Source organism: Homo sapiens, chromosome 7 (assembly GCF_000001405.40).
Source record: "Homo sapiens chromosome 7, GRCh38.p14 Primary Assembly".
In the NCBI taxonomy this organism is placed as follows: Eukaryota; Metazoa; Chordata; class Mammalia; order Primates; family Hominidae; genus Homo; species Homo sapiens.
The window spans coordinates 125,016,662-125,036,913 of NC_000007.14; the positions used below are offsets into that span (position 1 = coordinate 125,016,662).

The 20,252-nt window shown below is 36.8% G+C and overlaps 1 long non-coding RNA gene and 1 pseudogene across 2 annotated transcripts in view; both read left to right on the top strand.

Moving 5' to 3' along the window:
- Nucleotides 1–20,252, top strand: part of POT1-AS1 (POT1 antisense RNA 1) — a 215,362-nt gene that overhangs the window by 86,789 nt on the left and 108,321 nt on the right. For both annotated transcript variants that reach the window (NR_125718.1, NR_125719.1), the window contains one exon: nucleotides 3,672–3,752. This is a non-coding gene — a long non-coding RNA (POT1 antisense RNA 1). The remainder of the gene's footprint in view (nucleotides 1–3,671; nucleotides 3,753–20,252) is intronic.
- EEF1GP1 (eukaryotic translation elongation factor 1 gamma pseudogene 1) lies at nucleotides 16,772–18,722 on the top strand (annotated as a pseudogene).

A 20,252-nucleotide genomic window follows, 5' to 3' on the forward strand; every position in this document is an offset into this window, starting at 1 on the left:
AGCATTGATATTGCCTGGGAACTTCCTAGAAATGAAGAGTCTTAGGTCCCATCTCTGACCAACTAAATTACAGTCTACATTTTATCAGAATCCCAAGGTGATTTATATAGACATTAAAATTTGAGAAGCATTATCTAAAACTGTGGCTCTCAAAAAATAGTTTATGTATTCCTGAAGCTTTTTAATGTAATTCCATGGAGTCTATGAGGTCAAACCTGTATTCATAATTATAATAAGATATTATTTGCCATATCTAGAACACCTGATAGCACAATAATCAACATATTCTTAGTAAAGAATAATGTTGAAGGGAGATCATAGACTAATACTGATTTTGAGGTTTTCTCCATCCTTATTCTATAGTGAACCTGCATTTTAATTTTTTTTTCAGCATCTCTTTTATTTTCTTCATATACCAGTAACCTGATTATACTTGGAAGGGCCCACTGTTAGTCCATGGGGTTTAGGTATGTGTGACCTCTTGACCTTACTGCTGTCTCTTCATGGATGGAGATGTAACCTGTCTGACTAACTAACTCATTTAATTTTCTTGGCCACAGTGATTGATTCAGAAATATGAATCATGTTGGTGCCTTCAGAAGAGGTATTGATGCTTGTTTTTCCTGGAAATATTGGGAAGTGAAAGTTCTCTTTGCACAAAGTTTACTTTTAATAAAGATGATTTTAGCTAGTTTGCCAGGAGCTTCCTTTAGAGATGGCTTTCCTGTTATTGATAGGTATAGAATTTAAATTTAAAATAATTTTTCTCAGAAACTTAAAGCATATTCCATGTTATTGCAGACTGAATTTATTTTGTGAAACAACGGCAAGATATGACATTAACTGACAGTGAAAATTTATCAGTTCATATTCATTTCATTCTAGATACTGATATTGATTTTTATTAGTCCTAATAATTGGTAATCGTGAAACTATCATTTTTTCATAAGTATTTTCATAAGTATTTGAGTAAAGTTTGAGTAGACATCATAAATATAGATGACCACATACATTTTTGAATTGAAGATTCTAGTGATCCTTTCTTATTTATTTTTCAATTCTCACTACTTAGCACACTGACTGTTTCACTGTCATTGCTGAAAATGATAAGGTAATTTTGAATATAGGCTTTGTAACTGCAAATTCTTCTTTTATTACACTGAGCTAATATGTTATTAATCTTGTAATATTTTTTCAAGTTGACATATAGTGTTATAAGAATCCTTAACTATAATTTGATTTCCAAGGCTGCAAAGAATATTATGAATACCTTTATAGGAAAGAGTTTTCTCTAATTTAATAAATATTTATTGTCTACCTAATATATGCTGGTGAGTAACATGCAATACACAATCTATATACTCAAAGAGAGCCTAGTTTGGTAGATAAGATGGACATACACATACTTTTAACTCTGTTATAAGAGCAGCAGATGTAAAACATGGGAGAAATGATTAACTTTATCTGTGATTATGTGAGAAATACAATTGAAGAATATCACAAATGGAGATAGGTGATTATAGGCAAAAGAAAGGCATGTTCAAATGCACCCAGTATTTGATGCACCAATGCTTGGAAGAACTATGGACAGTTTAGAATTGTTTGAAATAGGGATGGGAGAAGATGAGACTAAAGAGATTTGCTGAGTCCAGATCAGGATGGATCTTGCATGCCATACAAAGAAATTTAGACTTTATTTGGCTGACCAGTGTTACATACTTTTAAAGAAAATCCATTTGAAATATGTAACAAATCTCTCCTAAAACAATTTGAGATTATTGTAGTTTTTACATTCCTTCAGTGCAAATCATTATGTAGGCAAAGAGGTTCCTTTAAAATGTCTTGCAGAGGATAGAGATGCATTTTTGAAACAATGAGGAGGTACATTAGATGACAGATATGAAAGCTTGACTTACAGCAATGGCTGCAAATGGGGAGGTCAACAGATCTGAGCAACTGGAGGGGTTGTTGGATCAACAGGACTTGGATAAATCAGGACTTTGATCTAACTTATTTATTTATATTTAAGTGAGAAGAAGAAAGCTTTAAAATATTGTTCCCTTAGGGCTCCATATACAATCAGTGGGATTTAGTTTTGCAATATGTATTAATTGAATTTACAAATATAGCATCTATAGGCACTTTAGATCATTATATTTATAAACATATTAAATAAATGGGTAGGTGATACTGCCTGATAAAGTGAAATGATGAATTTATAGCTTTCCATTAGATTTTTCAAAAGGTTCCCACTTCACTTTAAATTAAATGTCATATTTATGTGTAATTTTATACTCCTTGAAGTCTAAGATCTATTGGTTTCAATATTATTCATATAACAATAAGTTTGTTTTGGTGATACAAAAGACTTTTTAGAACTTGACCATACCCTTTTTCCTGTTTTTCTTCTGTTCTTTAATTTACTTATATCTTTATCTAAATTGTAATATTAGCATTTTAAATTTTATAACTTGATTGGATAGATCAATACTTACCAATTTCTTTTACGTCATGGCACACCTAGAAAATGATATATACATGCAGTACTTGAAGGGCAGTAGATAAAGATGCTTACTTTTGGAGAGAACAAGCCACATGCTCCAGCCTCCCATACTTTTATCAGAACACCCTGAAGCTAGAGGAAAACGCTGTCTCCTCACACTCACAGATGTAACTTATCCACATTGGTTGGAATGCTTTGAATTTTGAAATGAAACTTCAAGAGGTTGTGCTTATGGAATGGACACCCGTGTTGTTCAGCAAGAATTGTGATGGTGTATTGATAGACCACATAACAAAAATGTCAATTTGCTGAAGAAATAGTTGCTAGTGATCATGTGGAGATCTTGAAACCTGGTATACAGACAACTCAGGACAACCTACAGTCATTACTGAGGACATGAGTGAAACACATGTTTTATTGATGAAGACTCAGGAGTCTTTGATAGGATATTATAAATACTGCAATCCAATTTTTTCATTTTATAAATGAGAACACTTGAGACAAAGAAATTGTGTGTCTTGACTAGAAAGTAAAAGTCTTGAATAGAGGGTAAATGACTGGACTTAAGCTTTTTGAAATCAGGGACATTTTTCTCTTTTGTTAATTACTATATTCTATTGCCTGGTAGAGTACATAGCACATGGCAGAAGTTTCAAAAATTTTACTGAGTGGATGAATGAATGAATGTATTGTCCAGGGACACATGGTTAGTTGGAGAGCCAAAATGAGACTTAAAATCTTCCATCTTCCAGCTCAATGCTTCAATCCACTGTGTATAACATAGTTATCAATATTCTATGAATAATTCATTTTGTGGCATAAGGCACAAAATGTCATGGACACATTCTAGAATTGAATATTTTAAGAATTTACCTTTCTTCTGTTTTGTAGCAGTTCCTGTCCATCATATTCATAAATAGAAAATAAAACATTTAGTTCACCATCAGGCTTATATTTATCTTAACAGATTTCTGTAAATACAGATAATTTAATAAACAACAAAGTTGGTCTTATATAAGCTATTACAAATTTTTTTCTCTTTAGTAGTTAGTATCTTTTTAATTTTCTTCAGTGGTTGAATATACTCAGGTTTACATTCATTTCTCATTAATTAGATGGTGAGAGACAAAACTTGCAATAAATTTTTACCAGTGTATCCTGTTTGCAGGCAATGGAAATCAGAGAAACACTGTTCCTGAAAGCTTCTGTCACTCAAGAATCCATGAAACATTCATGAACTTCACATCAGGTAAAGGTGTCCTTGTTTACATATTTGCAGATTTGCTTATGCATGCCCTCAACAAGATTTCACAAATGTTTATGATCCTATGACCATATTAATTATAAATCTGCATGTAGATACTAATGAAAATTTTACCTAACATGTTATTAGTCCATGACTCTTTTTCATGATAATTTATAGCAACCAAATTGGGAGAAGAAAGCTAAATTGAATTATTAATTATAATAAAATTCAATATGAAAGTTTCCATAAACTATGTCTTGAGAACCACCAGCAACTTGATAGATGAATGTGAATTATACTGTTCTCCCTTTCATTGCTTCTTCAGCTAGGCTGTAGTGTTTACAAAGCAGACACTAAAGTTGAGATTTAGCAATTGCCACATTGTCTGTGACTTTTTTAGATACTGTGAAAAAAGGAAAGATTACAGAGTTTAGAGGAAGGGAAAAACTTGAATGATTTGTTTTAAAAACGCTTTGTTCTGAAAACCATGAGTTAGTAGGCTTGCGGTTAATACTAGTGAAAGAGTCTGGATTGCGTTATGAAAGGGGTGATTTATTCCCATACAGAGAAGGGTACATTGATTAATATGAGTTCCTATGTAATTACTTAGAATAAACTTTGCCAAAACCCCCTAGTTTTGTCATTTGGCAAGGTTTTGGTTGGCATAGCAGAAACAGCGTATCATGTGTTTAGCTAATCACTTAGTCTTTCACTACATATTTAAAGGCAAAATAGAGATATGCAGGCAACATAGTTCTAGAAATGAGCAAATTGTGAGCTTGTTATGCAAATGTAACAAATGGTTCCTACATAGAAGTTGAGCAAATAATTGGGACTTTTGTGTTTAAAATATATTAGTAACTTAAGACATAGAGGCATACTTATAAAGCTATCAACATTCATCTAGTCATATAATTTGAATAGAATTAGAATTCAGAAAAGTCTCTGATATGGTTTGATTATGTCTCTACCCAAATCTCATCTTGAATCATAGCTCCCATAATTCCTACTTGTTGTGGGAGGGACCCAGTTGGAGATCATTGAATCACTCGGGCAGTTTCTTCCATACTGTTTTCATGGTAGTGAATAAATCTCACGAAATCTGATGGTTTTATAAGGGGTTTCCCCTTTTGCTTGGCTCTATTGTCTCTTGCCTGCCACCATGTAAGACGTGCCTTTCACCTTCTGCCATGATTGTGAGGCCTCCCCAGCCACGTGGAACTGTGCGTCTTTAAATCGTTTTTTTCTTTATAAATTACCCAGTCTTGGTTATGTCTTAATCAGCAATGTGAAAATGTACTAATATAGTAAATTGGTACCAGGTAGTGGGGCACTGCTGTAAAGATACCCAAAAATATGGAAGTGACTTTGTAACTGGGTAACAGGCAGAAGTTGAAAGAGTTTGGAGGGCTCATAGGAAGACAGGAAAATGTAGGAAACTTTGGAAATTCCTAGAGACTTGTTGAATGGCTTGAACAAAATGCTGATAATAATATAGACAATGAAATGCAGGCTGAGGTGGTCTCAGATGGAAATGAGGAACTTGTTGGGAATTGGAGTAAAGGTGACTCTTGCTATGCTTTAGCAAAGAGATTGGTGGCATTTTGCCCCTACCCTAGAGATTTGTAGAACTTTGAACTTGAGAGAGATGATTTAGGGTATCTGGCAGAAGAAATTTCTAAGCAGCCAAGCATTCAAAAGGTAACAGAAGCATTCAATTTTAAAAGGGAAACAGAGCATAAAAGTTTGGGAAATTTGCAGCCTGATGATATGATAGAAGATAAAAACCCATTTTCTGAGGAGAAATCCAAGCCTGCTGCAGAAATTTGCATAACTAATGAGAAGTCGCATTTTGTTTGTTTGTTTGCGATGGAGTCTTGCTCTGTCACCCAGGCTGGAGTGCAGTGGTGCAATCTTGGCTCACTGCAAACTCTGCCTCCTGGGTTTGTGCTAGTCTCCTGCCTTAGCCTCCTGAGTAGCTGGGACTACAGGTGCCTGCCACCACGCCCGGCTAATTTTTTGTATTTTTAGTAGAGACAGGGTTTCACCGTGTTAGTCAGGATGGTCTCGATCTCCTGACCTCATGATCCGCCTGCCTCAGCCTCCCAAAGTGCTGGGATTACAGGCGTGAGCCACCGTGCCTGACCAGCTGTGTCCCAGCCATTCTAACCATGGCTAGAAGGAGTAAAGATACAGTTCGGACTGTGGCTTCATAGGGTGCAAGCCCTAAGCCTTGACAGCTTCCATGTGGTGTTGAGCCTGCAGGTGCACAGAAGTCAAGAATTGAGGTTTGGGAACCTTCGCCTAGATTTCAGAGGCTGTATGGGAACACCTGGATATCTAGGAAGAAGTTTGCTGTAGGGGCAGGGCCCTCATGGAGAACATCTGCTAGAGCAATGCGGAAGGGAAATGTGGGGTTGATGCCCTCACAAAGTCCCAACTGGGGCACTGCCTAGTGGAGCTATGAGAAGAGAGCCATGGTCCTCCAGACCCCAGAATGGTAGATCCACTGACAGCTTGTACTGTGCACCTGGAAAAGGTGCAGACACTCAAAGCAGCTGGAAGGGAGACTGTAAAGCCCCAGGGGCAGAGATGCCCAAGACCATGGGAACCTACGTCGTGTATCAGCATGACCTGGATGTGAAACATGAAGTCAAAGGAGATCATTTTGAAGCTTTAAGATTTGACTGCCCCACTAGATTTCAGACTTGCATGGGGCCTTTAGCCCCTTCATTTTAGCCAGTTTCTCCCATTTGGAATGGCTATATTTATCCAATGTGTGCACCCCCATTGTATCTAGGAAGTAACTAACATGCTTTTGATTTTACAGGCTTATAGGCAGAAGGGACTTGCCTTGTCACAGATGAGACTTTAGACTGTGGACTTTTGAGTTAATGCTGAAATGAGTTAAGACTTTGGGGGACTGTTGGCAAGGCATGATTTGTTTTGAAATGTGAGGACATGAAATTTGGTAGGAACCAGGGTGGAATGATATGGTTTGGTTGTGTCCCCACTCAAATGTCATCTTGAATTTTAGCTCCCATGATCTCCATATGTTGTGGGAGGGACCCAGTGTGAGATAATTTAATCATGGGGGCAGTTTTCTCCATACTGTTCTCGTGGTAGTGAATAAGTCTCATGAGATCTGATGATTTTATAAGGGGTTTCCCCCTTTGCTTGGCTGTCATTCTGTCTTGCCTGCTACCATGTAAGACATGCCTTTCACCTTCTGCCATGATTGTGAGGCCTCTCCAGCCACGTGAAACTGTGAGTCAAACAAGACTCTTTTTCTTTATAAATTATCCAGTCTCAGATATATCTTAACCAGCAGTATGAAAATGGACTAATACAGCCTATAAAGTGGGAAATACTGGACTGAATTAAGTGAGAAAGTATTTATATGAAACGTCCAGAATAGACAAATCCATACAGATAGAAAGTAGATTACAGATTGCTAAGGGGTGAGGGATGTGGGGAATGGGAAGTGACTACCAATTAATGGTTTATTTTTGTAGTGACAAAAATGTCTTGGAAGTAGATAATGGTGATGGTTGCACAACTTTGTCAATATATTAGGTTGGTGCAAGAGTAATTATGGTTTTTGCCATTAAAAGTAATTTGTCTACTCTGAACATTTCACATAAATACTTTATCATTTAATTCAGTCCAGTATTTCCAACTTTAGAGACTGTATTAGTCTGTTTTCACACTGCTGATTAAGATATACCTGAGACTGGGTAATTTATAAAGAAAAGGAGTCTTAATGGAATCAGTTTCACAGTTTCACTCTAAATGGCAAAAACTGTAATTACTTTTGTACCAAACTATACTAAAACCATTTAATTGTATACTACAAAAGAGAATGATATGGTTTGTGAATCATATGTCAAAGAAATTAAAATGGCATTTATGGTTAATAATCTGGGAATAGAAGAAAAACTTATGAAGAACAGAAGGAAATGAGCACAGTAAGAATTTTTATTTTGCACGGGTGAAATTCTAGCTGCATTCTCATTAACTCATGCATTAAAAAATAAAAGTAGAAGTGTATTATCTTCATTATTATTTAGCATTGCTTTAGATATTCAGACTAAAATATATATTGTAAACATTCTAACATAACGTATAAATTATCTGAATACTGGGAAAGTGAAGACAATGCTATTAATATATTTGGTGTAGATAATTTGATTGCATATATAGGACGCAGAGGATTCAAAATGAAAACAATTAGATTTGAAATCATTCAGTGAGGGGCTGGATAAGAAAGAATTGTTAAAAATAATAGTTTTCCTATGTACTATCAAGAAACAAATATAACCTACTATGAAAAATGTAGCTCATTAACAATAATAATCTAAATTATAAAATACTTAGGAGTTATATCCATGAGATATGTTCAAAGATAAAGATATAAGTCTCAGAGAGTACATACTGTAGGAAATTGAATGAAAACAACTTCTAAAGAAATACAAATTACTAATAGACATATAAAAATATTCAAATATACTAGTACTAAAAGAAATTAAAAAGTAAATAACAATAAGATAGGACTGGCTAATATTAACAAGTCTAATAATAGCTAGTGTTTAAATGGTAGCTGGGAAATGGGACTTTTTGTTCATAGGCTCATGACTGGGATAGAAATTTCCGTTGTTTCTGAATGACAAGTTGCCGGTATCTGTCAAAAGCCTTAAAAATGTGTGTAAATTTTGACCCTGTAATCACTGTTTTCAGAATGTATCCCAAGGAAATAATTGCACAAATACTCAGACATGTAGAGACTGCTTTGCAGTATTTTTTCTAAAGGTAAAAATTTTAAACAATATTAAGTAGCATAAATGAGTTACAGCTGCAGCGACAATATTTTCCAAAACTAGCCATCACAGTATTTTCAGTCTCATATGCGCAACCTCAACCTTACCACACTCCCATTTAGAGTTTGAGTCTATTTTTCTTCCCCTTGAACCCAGGCAAGACTTTGTGACTCCCTCAATGAATAGACTATAATGAAAGTGACGTAGGGTGATTTTAAAGTTCATCAAAAAAGGCAACATGACTTCCACTTGGCTCTCTCTTTATTGGGGTATTTCTCCTTTGAAACCCAGCTACCATGTTTAAGAAGGCCCAGGTGATGTGGCAAGGTCACAAGGAAGTGTTGTAACAGACATCCCTAGCTTAGGTTCCTGCTAATAGCTAGCATCTGCTAGTAATACGAGAGATTTCAGATGATTTCAGCCTCCATTCTATTTTTTTTTAAAAGTTTTTAAGGCTACAAGAGAAGCACTAGGGTTCCACTAGAGAAAAGGGAAGATGGGGAGTATGTTGCCACTGTAGATTTCACAACTGATTCAAGCCTCCACTCTTTAAGCCACTACAGCTAGTTTAATAGAACAGAGACAAGTTGCTGAGTCTGCAAAATTGCAGAATTATGAGCAAAATAAATGTTGTTAAGTCACTATATTTTGTAGTGGTTTATTACACAGCCATAGTAAATGAAATAATAACACATGTAAAAATGAAATTCTTGAGGCAATTTTAAATGAAAATATATACTAATATTTTTATAGCATTTACAGAAAATGACAAGTACATAAGAGTATAAATAATTACATTCCATGTATGTGTGCACAAAAATACACATAAATACCCAACAGCCATTGTGTGTATGCACAGAAAAACATACTGATAAGTATATATCAAAATGTTAAGAGTGGTTATCTTCAAATGTTGGGAATATAACGACGATTTATACTTAATTTTTATGCTTGCTCATCTTGCTTATCTTGCCATATTTTCTAACTTTTCTGCAAGTGGACATTGGTCATTTGTTTAATAGAGACTAAATAAATTTGGACTTAAATTAAAAATCAACTGCTGAAGCACAAAATATAGAGGAACCTAGCTCAACAGTTGTTCATAAAAAAAGACAGGTGTTTTTTGATTGCAAGTTCAAAACCAGCCAATAGCATGCTGTAACTGCCAAAATGTTAATGCAAACTTAGGTAGCAGTTAAAGAATTTAATTGTCCAGAGGACCAGAGGCAAAGTTCTCCTGTATGACACATTGAGTAGATCACACTTTGAGGCACCAACTTTTAAGAAGGACAGCAACTGGCTTTCTTCCAGGAGGCTGCCCAGGATAGTGGTAAGGTCTGTAATGGAGTTATCAAAAAACAATGGAAAAAACAGAGAATTCTGTTGGAAAAGAAAAAATCTAACAGAGAGAGACATGGAAACGTGGGTTAGTTTTCATCTGCATAATTTCAGAGAGTAAGAGTTAAACGGTAAATGAAAACTTCAAAGAGACAGATTTGGCTTAGCCTAAGACTATACTTTCAATTAAATTGAGCTATTCAACAATTGGTAGAACAGCCACAGGGCATAATGAGTCCTTGTCTCTGGTGTTCTTGAGATTCCCAAGTGTCAGGATGTTTAGGGAACAATGTGCTTCATGGGCAATTTAGCCAGGTATATTTAAAATCCTGTTCCTGCCAAAATCTACAAAAGTCTCTATGATAGGATCAGAGTTACAACAGTATACTATCTGGGTAGTGCTCTGTAAAGTCTCTCTTTAGCACACCTTTCCCTAAGAGCCTGATTTTCTGAATTCCCAGTCTTTGCTAATTAGCACAGATGAGCTAAGGTTGGCGGTGATTTTCTGAAAATTAAAGACTCATATTTCTGAAGATGATGTGTATCTTAATTAAGTCTCCTCATTAAAACTCCCTAGCTTTAGTTGTCAGTGTCTGTCTTTACACAGCACATAGTAGACTCTTGCCCATTTCTTATGTAGTTTGATTAATGTAGACAGCTCGTCTTAGTTATTTTAGCCCCACAAAGGGAATTCTTAGGCCTTGTGGTCCAAATGGACTGAATGAAGATCTGCTTCTTAAGTATTTCTTTAAAGTGGGCTTCCTGACATACCTGAAACTCTGTTTGGATGTTAATATGGGGTTTTATCAAGTTGTTTGAAGGAAAAAGATACACTTTTATCTTTTTCTACTAACAGTTATTAGGAACTGATTTAAACATAGCATTTGGATGAAAAATGACATCCTCTGTGAGTTTTGTTGGGACCCATCTAATCTTCCTACCATGCAAATCCTCACCTCTGGTTTTGCCCTCTCTTCAGATATAGCTAGCATGTATGGATTTCAGGTAGGGCTCGCATTCACTATGAAACTTACCACTTTACTAAGACATAGGCACAGATCTCTAAACCAATGATAGCTGAGCCAATTGGTCCTGTACCTCTCTTTCCACTTCCTTTTGGTCTTATAAACAAATAGAATGACTCTAGAGGTGTTATGGAATTAACAGCACACTCCCGTAAAATATATAGTCCTATTACTTTGACTTTTATCTAGATACCTTCAAATATCTGGACCAGAAGACAATCTTATGGTATCTAGAAAATGATTAAATTTGATTTTTAAACTGTACCTAAAATAAATTTAGATAATTCTTAACACTATAATTGAATATAAATCTTATCTAATAGTGGGAGAGAAACTCTGTGTCTAATACTCAGGAGAAAATAAAGATAATAGATATTTAAATGTTTTATTTCTTGGAAACAATGTATATCTAACAAAACAAAGCATTTGCTGTTGAAATTTAAAACGAAAAATTCTCATTTAAAATATATAAGATCAGAAGCAAAGAAAAATAAGAGGTGTATTATATATATATATATTACATCTGCCATTTACTGCCAATTGAGGCATAAATCACATTTATATAAAATTATTTTAAATTAAGGATAATGCATACAGCTAACTTTTGCTACACTGGTTGTGAAAAAACTCAAATACTTGGCAAATTGGTGAAATGTTCTTTTTCTTGCAGGAAGATTCATATAATGTTATGTGGGAGAGGAAGAGTTGCATTGTTTCCTCTTTGCCCCCTTGAATGAGATCCAGTCAATTGAATTTATCAGTTAATTCCTGCTAGAGATTTTTGTTCACATGGTTGGCAGCCCCTGAGTGCTATTACTTTTTATTGATTTAGCAGCAAATATATGTTCATCTTATTGACAAATCTGAATAAGATATGGAAACAAAAATGAACAACTAAAATCTCCCTAAAAATATAATGAAAATTCACACTTTAGCTTAATAATGTTAAGTATAAAGGATTAGAAAATGAATGTATTATGGAACATGATGTTTCTTTCACTTTCAAGTGGAAGCATATATTTAAACATGTAGGTATTTGAATATTATATACTCACCTGCATTGTGGATTGATGATTGGTTTTGGGAGAATCCAAAAGTTAGAGGTCAAATTTGTAGTTATTACTAAGCATAGGTTGAGAAACCATGAGCATGTTTTCAGATCCTGTCACCTTTTCCTCCTTTGCTCTACCTCTAGTCATCATATTCCATGGTACGTTGTAGCAATGGTTGACCTTTATGGGCTTTGGAGGATGACAACCTGGTTCCAATCTCAGTTCTGTCTCTTATCTGCTGTGTGACTTTGGACAAGTTACTTAACATTCCAGATTCTTTATCTTTAAAGTGGGGCTAACATTGCTACCTCATAGTTTTCTGAGGATTTAATAGATGAATGCAACTAAAGTGCTTAGTGAAAGGCCTGGCACCTAGTGGAGGATTTGATAATCATAGTTGTTGCCACCATTACTACTTTAATAGTGTTTGGTGCACACAAAGGAAAGAAGAAGCAAGAGCAAATCTTGCTCTTTGCACAGATTTTGCTCTCCATTAGTTTATGTCTGATTGAGCAGGAATTTTCTTTTCCATGTATTCTGTAGTTGCTATTGTTCATTTTTATACATTTCAGCCTTCTTTTCAAGAGAATAATGTACCAGTTTTGAAGATTCACTACATAAAAGTGGCATCTGTCAGCTATATCCCTAAGAAACTGTTCTAATTTACAGGAAGCAGGTGTTTGACTACAAGAATGTCTTTAGTCAGTGATGCGAATTTTTTTTTCTAGTAAAAGTGTTTCAGAGAAACCAAAATAATAATTTCTTTCTTCTTAGAAAATAATCTATACATTATAGTTTCTTTCTTTTACAAAGTTTTTTATCTTTATTTTATTTCAATAGCTTTTGGGGTGCAGGTGGTTTTTGGTTACATGGATAAGTTCTGTAGTAGTGATTTCTGAGTTTTTGGTGCACCCGTCACCCAAGCAATGTACACCGTATCCAATGCGTAGTCTTATCCCTGACCCCTTTCCCACTCTTCCCCACAAGTACTGAAAGCCTGTACATCCTCATGGCTTAGCTCCCACTTATAAGTGAGAACACACAATGTTTGGTTTTCCATTCCTGAGTTACTTCACTTAGAATAATGTCCTCCAGCTCCAAGTTGCTGCAAAGGCCATTATTACATTCTGTTTTATGGCTCTGTAGTATTCTATGGTGTATACATACCACATTTTTTAATCCACTTGTTGGTTGATGAGCATTTAGGTTGGTTTCATATGTTTGTAATCACAAATTCTGCTGCTATGAACATGCTTGTGCATGTGGCTTTTTCATGTAATGACTTCTTTTTCTTTGGGTAGATACCCAGTAGTGGCATTGCTGGATCGAATGGTAGTTCTACATTTAGTTCTTTAAGGAATTTCCATACTGTTTTCAATCGTGATTGTACTAATTTACAATCCCACCAGCAGTGTAAAAGTGTTCCTTTTTCAGCACATCTGCACCAACATCTATTATCTTTTGATTTTTTAATTATGGCCATTCTTGCAGGAGTAAGGTGGTATCTCATTTTGGTTTTAATTTGCATTTCCTTGATAATTAGTGATGCTGAGCAGTTTTTCATATGTTTGTTGGCTGTTTGTATATCTTTGCTTGAGAATTGGCTATTCATGTCCTTTGCCCACTTTTTGATGGGGTTCTTTGGTTTTTTCTTGCTTCTTTGTTTAGGTTCCTTAATGTCATTTGGAGAAAGATTAAATAAAAGATTTAGGTTCAAATATAAACTTGTTGATAATATCTGTGTGTCCCCAACTTAATAACTCAGCAAGATACTTTCAAGAGCTTTTAAAAATAAAGATTCCAGCCAGGCGCGGTGGCTCACACCTGTAATCCCAGCACTTTGGGAGGCCGAGGTGGATGGATCACCTGAGGTTAGGAGTTTGAGATCAGCCTGGCCAACTTGGTGAAACCCTGTCTCTACTAAAAATACAAAAATTAGCTGGGTGTGGTTGCTGCCGCCTGTAATCCCAGCTACTCAGGAGGCTGAGGCAGGAGAATCGCTTGAACCTGGGAGGCGGAGGTTGCAGTGAGCTGAGAATGCACCATTGCACTCCAGCCTGGGAGACAAGAGTGAAACTCCATCTCAAAACAAACAAACAACCAAACAAACAAAACACAAAATGAATAATAATAATAAATAAATAAAATAACACATAAAGATTCCCCTTACAACTTGGTCCATTGAGATTTGACTGGGTGCAGGGAGAGGTGAAGACCTGGTTACCATGTGGACTAGTGGACAGCTTATATTTTGAGCCAAAGGAGGCAGGTGAAAATGCCAGAAGAGCACTGAAGTTAAGAACTTGTGACGTCATAAGATCCCTGGACTTGGCACATCCTTCCCATTTAAGTGATGCTCCGAGTTCCATCTGAACTGCTTTTAATTTCCTTAGGAAAAAATGGGCAAAGCTACACAGAACTAATTAATGGTCCATTTGTGATGAAAAATTTTGCAACTGTGATCAACATGTCCCTTCCAAAGATAAGAATCCATGAGCTATGAGAGTATCTGCCTGCAGAGGCAGCGTGAGAGACTGGGGCAAAAGATCAAGAACAGGCAAATACCTTCTGTTTGACCAGTATTGTGAGTAAATAGGCCTGATTGAAATATCTGGCTTTAAAGGTACCTACTGCATTTTGAGAATGTGGATGACTTAGGGAGGGTTTACAGGATTATTTTATTAACAACGCAGAGGGTTCATTTTATATAACCTTTTTAGCATTTTGAGGTCCTGTTCTGGCTTTCAAAGATGTTTTCATAATTCTAAGACCTGTATTTGAAGTCACAGGGCAGTAGCATAGCCTTTGTTTTGTGGTATTTGGAAAGAAACTGTACTTCTTTTAGATTTCCAAGTTTCAGAAAATGAAGGCTGATTATATATTCTAGTGTGCCTAGAGTTTTGGATTGCAAAAATAGTTACAATACTTTTCAGTAACTCTCATCAAATGGTGGAGTCTAGTTCTCCACTCTTTAAATCTGGGACTGACCTTATAACTTTCCTTAATACATCAAATATAGTAAAAATGATGAGGTACAAGATGTACGAGTTATGAGCCCAGGCTTCAAGAGGTCTTAGGTTCAACTTTTGTTGCCTGTAGAATGCTATGGCTATCATGTGGAAGAGACAGCCCAGTGGATAATAAGACAAGCTGCACATTAGCTGACAACTGCCAGAGCTGCGAGCCTAGAATGATTCAGGAGCTATCTTAGATCATTCAGCCACCAACTGGCCTACATTCTGTCTATGAGCCCACAGAAAATCAGCCAAGCAGGCCCAAGCCGCAAAATCCTCCTAAGCGACCCATAGAATCATGAAAATAAAAAAAAATTATTGTTGTTTAAATCCAATGGCTAGTATGCTATGTAGCAAAAGCCATCTGATATGCCTGGGACAGTCTTAGCTCACACCTGTTGTCATAGAGTAATTATTGGCATTGCATCTTTTTAACAATTTTTCATTTTTTTTTAAGTTCTGGGGTACATGTGCAGGTTGTGCAGGTTTGTTACATAGGTAAATGTGTGCCATGGTGGTTTGCGCACATATCAACCCATCACCTAGGTATTAAGCCCAGCATGCATTAGCTACTTTTTCTAATGCTCTCCTTCCCCCTGCCCACCTCCCACAAGCCCCAGTGTGTGATGTTCCCCTCCCTGTGTCCATGTGTTCTCATTGTTCAGCTCCCACGTACAAGTGAGAACATGCGGTGTTTGGTTTTCTGCTTCTGTGTTAGATTGCTGAGGATAGTGGATAATACATCCTTTTATTCTCAAACTATCTTTGTTTGAGTACGTTGTATAGTCAACTTCAGTAAGTAATACCACCATTTACTCATTTGCCAAACAAGTATTTCTTTTGTGAGTTGGATTGAGCAGAAGGCAAAATAACAGTGGCTCATCCTACTACAAGTCTTGTCTTACGTCGTTTTTTATTTTGTTTTTCAGATTTCACCTTTTTAAAAAAACTCCTTTTGAAATAGACAAATAGACTAATTCTTTCTTACAGGAGTTTTTCTGACAAGTGAAACAGTATCTTAGAATGATATCTCATAATACCACCTCAGAGTAGCTTTGAAAATGATGAGATTTGCTCCCTATTTGATGTTGAATGATTACAAGACTTGAATTATGGGGATCAAAAAGTCAGTGCTGTTTTCAAAGAAATACTTTTGAGTAGCAGTACCTGTGGAAAAAAAAAGCACAATGCAATTATTCTATTAATAAAGTGACCAGCACACAGTCGTATATTACAGTAGAAGCACATTTCACAATTGCTTTCTAAAGTAAATCAATATGTAAAATAATTCAAATAAAATGATACAAGCTACACTTTGTTTTGTAATATATTTTTCTCCAAAGGCATAGATATAAAATTTATAAAATACGTATTTTGATGTTTATAAATTATCCGAAATACTTTCTTTGCTAAGCAGGGCTAGCCATGTGCAACACTGTGATATTGACAATTTAGGCCTTGGCTTTCTTCCCTTTATTTGGCATTCCTTGCCAAGTGGAACAAAACACACATTTCAGGGTAGGTAGGATTTGCTCTGTCTCTTCTTTCAACTGACAATATGACATACGCACATAGTAAACCTTTCAAACAGTACAAAGATAAACATTTATAGTAAAATATTAATTCTCCTCTCACTGTAAATTCTAAGTCCTGCAGTCCTCTCGGGAAGTAGCCTCTGCTGAGCTTCTTTTACATGCCTTTTCTATGCATATGAATATATATTTTAAATACATATAGATGGTATGTATCTTAAACATCAAAAAGAATCTCTTCTCACCCCTTTCTTTGCGGAAGCACCATGGCGACTGGGACCCTGTACACATATCCTGAAAACTGGAGGGCTTTCAAGGCCCTCATTGCTGCTCAGTACAGCGGGGCTCAGGTTCATGTGCTGTCCGCACCACCCCACTTGCACTTTGGCTAAATCAACTGCACGCCTGAATTTCTCCGCAAATTTCCTGCTGGCAAGTTTCCAGCATTTGAGGGTGACAGTGGGTTCTGTGTGTTTGACAGCAATGCCATATGTGAGCAATGAGGAGCTGTGGGGAAGTACACCCGAAGCAGCAGCCTAGGTGGCGCAGTGGGTGAGCTTTGCTGATAGTGGTAGAGTGCCCCCAGCCAGTGCCTGGGTGTTCCGCATCATGGGCATCATGCACCACAACAAGCAGGCCATTCAGAATGCAAAGGAGGAAATGAGGCGAATTCTGGGGCTGCTGGACGCTTACTTGAAGATGAGGACTTTTCTGGTGGGCGAATGAGTGACTGGCTGTTATCAGAGTCGTCTGCACCCTGTTGTGGCTCTATAAGCAGGTCATAGAACCTTCTTTCCACCAAGCCTTTCCCAATTTTGTAATATATTTTATTGTATTTATAATATATATCATTATTATAATATATAATTTATATATAAAATATATGTTATTATATATCTATATATAATTTATATATAAAATATACGTTATATCTATATATAATGTATATATTATATATAGTATGTAAACTATTTTGTAATATATTGTAAAATATTAAAGTAATATAATATATAATATATTTATTATATATATTATAACCTCTGGTTCCTCACCTGCATTAACCAGTCTCAGTTCTGGGCTGTCTTGGGGGAAGTGAAACTGTGTGAGAAGATGGCCCAGTTTGATGCTAAAAAGTTTGCCGAGTGCCAACCTAAAAAGGACACCCTGTGGAAAACGCAGGGTTCACAGGAAGAGCAGCAGAGCCCCAGGCTGAGTGGAAGGAGGAGAAAAAGGCAGCTGCCCCTGCTCCAGAGGAGGAGATGGATGAATGTAAGCAGGCGCTGGCCGCTGAGCCTAAGGCCAAGGATCCCTCCGATCACCTGCCCAAGAGTACCTTTGTGTTGGGTGAATTTTTATTTTATATTGATTGATTGATTGATTGAGGCGGAGTCTCACTCTGTCGCCCAGGCGGGAGTACAGTGAGTGGTGTGATCTCGGCTCAAGGCAACCTCCACCTCCCCGGTTCAAGCGATTCTCCTGCCTCAGCCTCCTGAGTAGCTGGGATTACAGTTGCCCACCACTACGCCCAGCGAATGTTTTGTATTTTTAGTAGAGATGGGGTTTCACCATATTGGTCAGGCTGGTCTCGAACTCCTGACCTTGTGATTCACCAGCCTTGGCCTCCCAAAGTGCTGGGATTACAGGTGTGAGCCGCCACACCCGGCTGTGTTGGATGAATTTAAGCGGCAAGGACTCCAACAAGGACACACTCCTTGTGGCACTGCCATATTTCTGGGGGCACTTTGATGAGGATGGCTGGTCCCTGTGATACTCAGAGTATCGCATCCCTGAAGAACTCACTCAGATCTCCATGAGCTGCAATCTCATCACTGGAATGTTCCAGCGACTGGACAAGTTGAGGAAGAATGCCTTCACCAGTGTCATCCTCTTTGGAACCAACAGTAGCAGCTCCATTTCTAGAGCCTGGGTCTTCTGAGGCCAGGAGCTTGCCTTTCTGCTGAGTCCAAATTGGCAGGTGGACTATGAATCATACACATGGCGGAAACTGGATACTGGCAGTGAGGAGACGTAGATGCTGGTTCGAGAGTACTTTTCCTGGGAGGGGGCCTTCCAGCATGTTGGCCAAACCTCCAATCGGGGCAAGATCTTCAAGTGAACGTCTCTTGCCAACGCCTACCTGCTTGCACCTGCCCCTTCAGGGAGACGGGGGTCATTAAAGGATACTGAACATTGAAAAAAAACGAGTCTCTTCTCTCCCACATGGCTTCCTTCCTTTGGACAACTTTCTTAATCTCTGCTTGTTTCAGGTGCCTCATCGATATAAAATTAACATCACAATTAATTTGGAATTAATTTGTATTTTTAATAAAGCTCCTGGAAAGGTATCTGACACAAAACGGAGCACTTTGTGTTAGCTATTATTGTTATTTACACTTTTGCCCAAGATCTTGCATTGATAATGGACATAATTACACTTGGAATCCAAATTATTCCAAATTTTTAAAAAAGTTCTATAATACAGACTGTAGAGACAGGGTAATTAGCTGGGCATAGTGATGTCCGCCTGTGGTCCCAGCTACTTGGGAGGCTAAGGGAGGAGGATCTCCTGAGTCCAGGGGGTCGAGGCTGCAGTGAGCTGTGATTGTGTCACTGCACTCCAGCTTGGGTGACATGGCAAGACCTTGTCTCAAAAACAGCAACAACAACAACAACAACAAAACACCAAAATCAAACAAAAAACAGACTGTAAAACACTTCATGAATACCCAGATTTGTGCTAAATTCAAAATAGGATTAAAAAATCCTTTAAGCATATGCTTAGACTATATAGCGTATTCACTACAGAGCAAAATGTACCTTTCCTTAGATACTTTTGCTTTAATTATAAATAGCAGAAGAAAATAAAGAAAAACACATAGGCTTTTTGTGGATTTCTTTGAATTTGTCCATTTGCTAATTTATTCATTCACTGTTCACTTCATCTGTATCTGACACAGACCTACATGAAAAAGAGGCAAATAAAATAGGCACAGTCTTTATTATCATGGAATTTGCAGGATGGCGGAGAAGACACTCCATAGTGAAATAATTATATATATGATATTGAAACAAAAGGTGAAATGCAAGGGGCGTATGAGAAACGTCTGTTCATGTCCTTTGCTCACTTTTTAATGGGGTTACTTGCTTATTGTTCATTGATTTGTTGAGTAAAATTTTCCATTTTCTTATCTATTTCTTTAACATGATCAGTTATTTTAAAGCTCCTATCTGGTGAAAAGTTATAGAGACTAGAGATGATGTTTTCTTCCTCCAGAGATAATCTAATTTTCTAGTAGGCAAGATCACCTTTATCCATATATGAATTGAAATAATTTCAGAATTTTTAAGAACTATTTTAATTCCAGTTTGCCCCTACACTAGAGAACAGCCCTCTCAAGATCTTAACTGAAGGCATTAAGTGTTTCCCATAGACCTCTTCCTACTTGGAGAATCCCAAATTCCAATTTTTATAACCCCAGAATTAAAAGAGTGTCAAAATCTCTGCATAGTTTTTGAGTTTTTTTTTTTTTAAGGCATTGTTTTTTCTTATTTTCTTGACTTTCCCTCTTATGCCTGTTCAGATCAGTTGTCTGAAAATACCTCCAGAGGAAATTGTATTAGTATGTTACACTCACTTCTTTGTGGTTCCCATTACTTCAGATCTTGGTCTCTCAGATAATGACTGCCTTGGCAGCCTTGTTAACAAATAGCTTTCCAATTGACTA